The sequence below is a fragment of the Homo sapiens genome, chromosome 6 (genome assembly GCF_000001405.40).
Source record: "Homo sapiens chromosome 6, GRCh38.p14 Primary Assembly".
NCBI lineage: Eukaryota > Metazoa > Chordata > Mammalia > Primates > Hominidae > Homo > Homo sapiens.
The window spans coordinates 166,400,242-166,407,756 of NC_000006.12; positions in this window are offsets into that span (position 1 = coordinate 166,400,242).

Genomic DNA, 7,515 nt, shown 5'->3' on the forward strand with positions numbered 1-7,515 from the left:
AGACTTTGTCTTATAAGGAAGTATTTATTATGTAACATGTTTGTCCCCTCTAAAGAGGACAGTTTAAAGGAGACATTTAAATTTCTCCTTCATGTGAGACATCCAGTGTTAGTATACTGGGTTAATATAAAACCAAACAAAACTCAAATAGACATGACTTTTCACCTCTGCAGGTTTACGGTGTGTGAACTTATGATTCTCATCAACTTTTCTTCCTTTCTTTCTTTTTTATTTTGAAGACAGAGTCTGGCTCTGTCACCCAGGCTGGAGTGCAGTGGTGTGATCTCAGCTCACTGTAACCTCTGCCTCCCGGGTTCAGGTGATTCTCCTGCCTCAGCCTCCCGCGTAGCTGGGATTACAGGCACCCACCACTATGCCCGGCTTTTTTTGTATTTTTATTAGAGATAGGGTTTCAGCATGGTAGCCAGGCTGGTCTCGAACTCCTGACCTCAAGTGACCTGCCTGCCTTGGCCTCCCAAAGTGCTGGGATTACAGATGTGAGCTACAGCGCCTGGCCTTCATCAGCTTTTCTTAATACTGATGGAGCCCACGGACTCCTGGTCCTGTTGTGAACTTCAGGTTGGCAATCGCTTGCCCTGGGCTGTATGAGGAGCCAGTGGCAGGACCCTGTCTGACCGGTGACCCATGGGGGCTCTGGCCATCGCAGTGCACGGGTCCTGAGAGGGCTCCCAGAGCTGCAGGGCTGAGCGCGTTCTGCATGGCCTGCAGGTCTAGCTGTACAAGCACTGCCCTCTGCTGGCATTTTGTAACAATTGCAAACACACAGAACTTACTTGTCCCGCAACGTAGTGAAGTTTCCAGAAGGAAAAGAGATGAATTTATGCCGGGGTGGTGGTTCACGCCTGTAATCCCAGCACTTTGGGAGGCCAAGGAGGGCGGATCACCTGAGGTCAGGAGTTCAAGACCAGCCTGGCCAACATGGTGAAATCCCATCTCTACTAAACAATACAAAAATTAGCCAGGTGTGGTGGCACGCGCCTGTAATCCCAGCTACTCAGGAGGCTGAGGCAGGAGAATCACTTGAACCCGGGAGGAGGAGGTCGCAGTGAGCTGAGATTGTGCCGCTGCACTCCAGGCTGGGCGACAGAACGAGACTCCGTCTCAATTAAAAAAAAAAAATAAAGAGGTGAATTTATATAGTTAACAGGCCACGTTCAACAAGGCCACCCCAGCCACCCGAGGCCCCATGTAGAATTTTGAATGGCCACATGCGTAGTGGACGCTGAACAGGGAACTCGTAAATTCCAGCCCAGTCCCCACCTATTCACTCATTTACAAATAATGATTTGTGCCCAGCACCGGGCCAGGCATAGAAAGAAGAAAAGGATTGCAACTCTCAGGGGTGCTCCAGGCTAGGGGGAGAGAGGCGCACACAAGAACAATTTCACTTCAGTCTCTTCCTCGATCCGGTATGAGGCTGTATAAAGGGCAGTCCGGATTGTATGGAGGTAATAATGTCTGAGCTGAAATGGAAAGGATTACGCAGGATTTGTCTGTTGGACATCTCTGACCAAAACGGCACTGAAACCTGATGACAGTACTTAGCACCAGGTATCTGAGTGGGAGGCTGTTGAGAGTAAATGGAGTTACGGTGGAAGAAATTCTGAGGTCCTTTAAAATGACCAAGCTGCCCGGGACCTTGCCATGTATCTGCTGGCATGTATGATTTGGTGTGAAAATATCAGGCCCAGATAACAGCCAAATTGCCTCACTTTCTGCAAGCTAAACACAGTCTAACTGCGTTAGCTACACACACACACTCTCTCTCTTTCATGCATCACTGAATGATGGAAACACGTTCTGGTAATTTCATCACTGTGTCGACATTAGAGAGTGCATTTACACAAACCTAGATGGTATAGCCCATTGTGTACTTAGGCTCTATGGTGTAGCCTATTGCTCCCAGGCTACAAACCTAAGCAGCATGGTACTGTGCTGAATACTGTAGGCAACTGTAACACAATGATAAGCATTTGTGTATCTAGACATATCTAAACATAGAAAAGGTACAGTAAAAATATGATATGGTATTGTCATCCTATAGGACCACCATTGTATATGCATCTATCTATCTATCTATCTATCTGTCTATCTGTATAGATATAGATATATACAGTCATGCACGACACAATGTTTCGGTCAGTGACTGACTGCATATACAAAGGTGGCCCCATGAGATGACTCTCTCTCCCTCTCCCTCTCCCTCTCCCTCTCCCTCTCCCCCTCCCCCTCCCCCTCCCCCTCCCCCTCCCCCTCCCCCTCCCCCTCCCCCTCCCTCTCTCTCTCTCTCTCTCTCTCTCTCTCTCTCTCTCTCTCTCTCTCTCAGGAACCATTCTTAGAGTTAGCTGCTCCACACCCTTTCTTTCACCTTCCTTTGTCGCCTCATCCAGCAGGCTTTCCGGAATGCAGATGCTGGCATCTGGAAGCATGAAGATGAGGCCTGTGAGTTAGAGGTCCTTTGGGACCGGGAGGGCTCAGAGGAGCTGGGCTGCCATCCAGCCTGCCCTGAGGCTCGCCTGAGAGATCTACAAACTTAGACCTCAGAAGGCTGCTGTCACTTTGGGCTTCCTGCTGCTCACAGTGAAACCTAATCTTTTTTCAGGGAATGGTTAATCGTTTTATGGAGATATAATTCACATACCATACAATTTACCCATTTGAAATGTACCACCTTCAGTATGTTTACAGGGTGTGTGACCATCATCACATTCTAATTTTTGAACATTTTTGGCACCCCCACCAAAAAAAACACTTTACACCCATTATCAGTCACTATCTATTCCCTCTCCACTAATGTTCTCCTTGGCAACCACCAATCTGCTTTCTGTCTCTGTGGATTTGCTGTCCTGGACATTTTATGTAAATGAATCACACCACATGTGGCCTTTGTGTCTGGCTTCCTTCACTGTGTAGTGTTTCAAGGCTCACCTATGTTGGAGCATTTATCAGCACTCCGTTTATTTTTGTGGCTGAATAATATTCCATTGCATGGATAGCACATTTTGTTTCTCCATGAATCCACTGGTGGATATCTGGGTTGTTTCCATGTTTTTACTGATACATATTCATACACACTTATGGGGTAGGTGTGGTGTTTTGTTGCATGCACAGAATGTGTTATGACCAAGTCAGAGGATTTAGGGTATCCATCACCTGCAGTATTTATTATTTCTATATGTTGGGAACGTCTCAAGTCTTCTAGCTATTTTGAAACATACAATACACTGTTGATAACTATAGTCACTGTATTCTGCTATTGAACATTAGAACTTATTCCTTCTACCTAACTGCATGTTTGTGCCTATTAACCAATCTTTCTTCACCCCTGAAACTTAATCTTAACTACTTTACTTTGTAATACATTTCGTTTGTTTGATTAGGATAGTTACTTTCTATTGCTTGTAACCAAGGAACCGTAACTAATATAGAAATTGATATGAGAAAGCAACACATCTTCAGGGAAATGTGGAGAATTGAGGACAGATTACTGGGTGTGGAGCTGGATTGAAAAGCAGTGACACACCCGTTGATATGATGGGAAGGGGGCTGGCAGGCGATGGGGCACCCGGCCAGTGGGTCAGACTCTTGCCCATGTTCCCTGGAGGCATCTAGGAGAACACTGATTTCTCACAGTTCTGGAGACTGGAAGTCCGAGATCAAGACACCCTCATGTTTGGGTCTTGGTGATGGCCCTCTTCCTGGTTTCACACTGCTGACTGCTAGCAGTATCTTCACATGGTAGAGAGTAGAATGAGCTTCAGTCTCTTTCTCTCCTATCGGGTCACTAATCCCATTCATGAAGATGCCATCCTCATGATCTAATCACTCCTCGAAGGCCCCACCCCTTAATACCATTCCTTTGGGGGTGAGGATTTCAACGTACAAACTTGGTGGTGGGCACAAACATTCAGTCCGTAGCAGATGGCGTTTCACTGGGCAGGTGCTGTGTTTGGGCAATCCTATCAGAATCACGCAGGAGCCTTGCTAAAACGCTCCTTTCTGTGACTAGGGCCGCACCTACCATGAATCAGTAGATGGCCCACAAGGGCACGAGTAGTTAACTCAGTCACTGTGCTTCTTACAGCGGATACTGAGGGGCATTCTGTTCTTAGGAGAGACTGGACAAAGAAACTGAGTCAGTGCTGAAGTCAAGTGCAGATCTGGAGTTAATTCCAATACTACAAAATGAATTATAGTTTCAGGTGCAGAACTGGAGTTAATTCCAATACTTACAAAATGAATTATAGTTTCAGGTGCATATCTAGTTTCCAGCTTTATAAATACTTGGTACAAAATAGATAATTTAATTACTGTCATGCTGAAAGAGGAAGCTGAAGAAAACTCAATGTCAGATGGGTGCCAAATGCAGTAGAATGTGTGAGACTGTTGGGCTCGTGGTGATATTGTATAAATTAATGTCTGGCTTGCATTAATTTTTGCATTATTTTATGAAGCTTCATATTCATAAAATTAAGTGGAAAAAGTATAAATGAAACATGACTTAAGAGTCCAGATAAATCTAGAATTAGGCCGGGCACAGTGGCTCATGCCTGTAATCCCAGCACTTTGGGAGGCCGAGGCGGGTGGATCACCTGAGGTCAGGAGTTCGAGACCAGCCTGGACAACATGGTGAAACCCCATCTCTACTAAAACACAAAAATCAGCCAGACATGGTGGCAGGCACCTATAATCCCAGCTACTTGGGAGACTGAGGCAGGAGAATCACTTGAACCCGAGAGGTGGAGGTTGCGGTGAGAATTAACACCAGATCATTCTAAGGCTAAACTCAGAAGCAGAGATCTGCACAATCAGTCTGTTGTACGGACACGTGCTGGGGGTACACGCTCCACCCTTTTAGTCTTTTACACTCTCCTCTGCACCTCCAGCTCCTCACCTTAAAGGCCCCACAAGGGTCACCAGGGACCCCTGGCTTGTCTTTGACACCGGTGCTTTTGGGCCCTGGGAGTAGCAGAGGTAAAGGCAGCAGGGTCAGTGAACAAGGCTCACACACTGTCCATTTGTGCCACAGCTGAAACCTGAAATCCGCAACCCCAGCATCTTGGCAGTGGCAGTGCCCATAAATGGTGCTTGGCCCTGCCCTGGCCCCTTATTGTGAAGATCCAGCCTTCCGCCCTCCCACCCTCACCCCCTGAGCTGGCTTCCCTAGAGATCTGAGCAGCAGATCACGCCGAGCTGATGTGGCCTGAGCCAGCTACTCCCCCGATGGTCCTTGCTGGTGACAAACTGGTAATGACAGTGGCAAGTGTGGGCTCCATAAACCTCCTACAATTGACACAAGGAGGTTGTCAGGCTCAGGAGGGCCCCTGGGCCTGGTCCGGGAGTGCTCAGTGTGCCTGGCCCTCCCTGCAGAGTGGTGAAGGGGAGGGGCTTAGTGGACTGACACGGGTGAGACCTGGGGCTGGTGGTGGTGAGTGACAGGGTGGAGGCAGAGTGTGTGGTGTTCCAGCTTGGCACTCTCAGAGCCCGCTGTTTTCAAGGTTGGACTTTTCTCATCACACTTGTAGGTAATGAGGTAGAAAGGTAATAAGGTCGAAAAGTAATGAGGTAGAAAGCACGGGGCTGATTGAAGAGGAGATCGCTGGACACCGCAGGAAGGTCAAGCTGAGGTGGTGATGGGGAGAGAGGCAGGGGTTTTCGAGGCTCTCTTCTCTGACTATTCCTGCACCGGGGAGGATGTTGGCACGTGATCTGGAAGACAGAAAGGGGCCCGGAGGAAGAGGGGATTTAAGGGCCTTGGGCAGGTCTGATCAAAGGGACACATGATTGCCCCCCAGGAGGCCCTTGGCGTCCCACTGTCCATCTCTAGGGCTGCTTGACCATCCTTGAAGAGTCTCGGAAACCCATCAGACTGATCCTGGGGTGTCCAGACTGTCCATATTGACGTTTAACCATCTGAGAATGGCCCCCTCACCTGGAGTCACAGGCTGACATCCCCAGACAAATGTGTGCCAGAATATCCTGGTGTTTTCTGCAAGGCAGCATGTTTTCTGAGCACCCGTTATTTGCAAGCAGGTGCTCAGGTTCCAGCAGTGACCGCCTCTCACACCCACAGTGTGGCTGCGCCGGCTATGGAGAGCCCTGGGCAGTGCTGAAGTCCGCAGCCAAAGAGGCCGATGCAAATTGCAGAGAGCGCTCAGAGTGCTCGGCCCGAGGAAGCTGTCCTCAGATGACAGCTTCACGTGGCAGGTGTGTAACCTGTTGTCCTCACTTGGAGGGAGGCACCTTCATCCCTATGAGGCCTAAGCAGGCAGAACTACAGGACAGAGCCAGCTCTAGCATATGCGCCATGCAGGGCGGCAGAGCCAGCTCCAGGACCCGTGCCACACTGGGTGGCAGAGCTAGCTCCAGATCTCCAGGGCTATGGGCTGCATTCAGATCCACCTGTACAAACAAGACACAGTTATTGTACCTGAAAGGTCGTGGGCCAGATACAATGTCAAGAATGTGTTGAGCCCTAAATTTGGGGGAAGCAGTAATTTTCACTCACAGCCCGCGGGGCTGCATTGGGAAGTGGGAGTCAGGGCTCCCTGGCTCCTTTATAAGCCCCGCTTGTTTTCTGCAAATACTGCTAATGTCCCAGATTGGCATTAATCAGGACAAGTAATTAGCTGAATTTTGAGAACAACAACAAATACATATATATCTATATATTATATGTCTATAATTTATATCTATACCTATCATATGTACATATAGGTACATATATGTACCTCCATCCATGTAAGGATGACAGATCTATATCTATCATTATACATATGATAGGTGTATGGGGGATTCTTTTAAGTTCTATAAAAATATCTTTATGTCCTCAGATGCATCTGAGATTGAGCATTAAGCTGAGTTTCTCCACAGATAAAGGTGACAGCCCAAGTGTGAGTCCAACTCTCCTCTCCAGGCCTGTCAGTGGATTCTTAGACGATATTCAGTTCAGCATTTGGGGTCCAGCGTTACAACACTGAGCCACTGGGAGGCAATTCTCCATGGGTCTCTTGCCTTTCTGCGGTCTCTAGCTGCTTTGGCTCTGAACTGTCTTTCCAAGGACATTTGTGTAGTAGACAGCCCTGGGAGGCAGAGGCAGCATCTCTCTCTGTGGCCAAGGGCAGGCGTCTTCCTGTCCACTGTAATCGGGTGTCCCCTTCCAGGGCAATGGGGGGTGGGTTTGCCTGCATCCCTCCATGAACAATTAGGGTTTCCTAAGTCAGGGTCCTCATCTGTGATGCAAATTCAACGTGTGCAGCATGTCCACCTGGGCCACTGTCCACCAACCCATAAGGCTTGGGGCCCACAGGGACCGATGTGTGCGGGGCCCATGCTGTTTGCTGGGCCTAGCTGTTTGCTAGGTCTGTGACCTAGAAGTCTTGTGCCTTCATCCAGCATCCGTGAGCCTGCAAGTAGGGCCAAGCCTCAGAGACTTACTTCAGTCTGGACAGCTTGTCTTCCCCAACCAAAAAAATATGTGCAGGTGGACAAGTG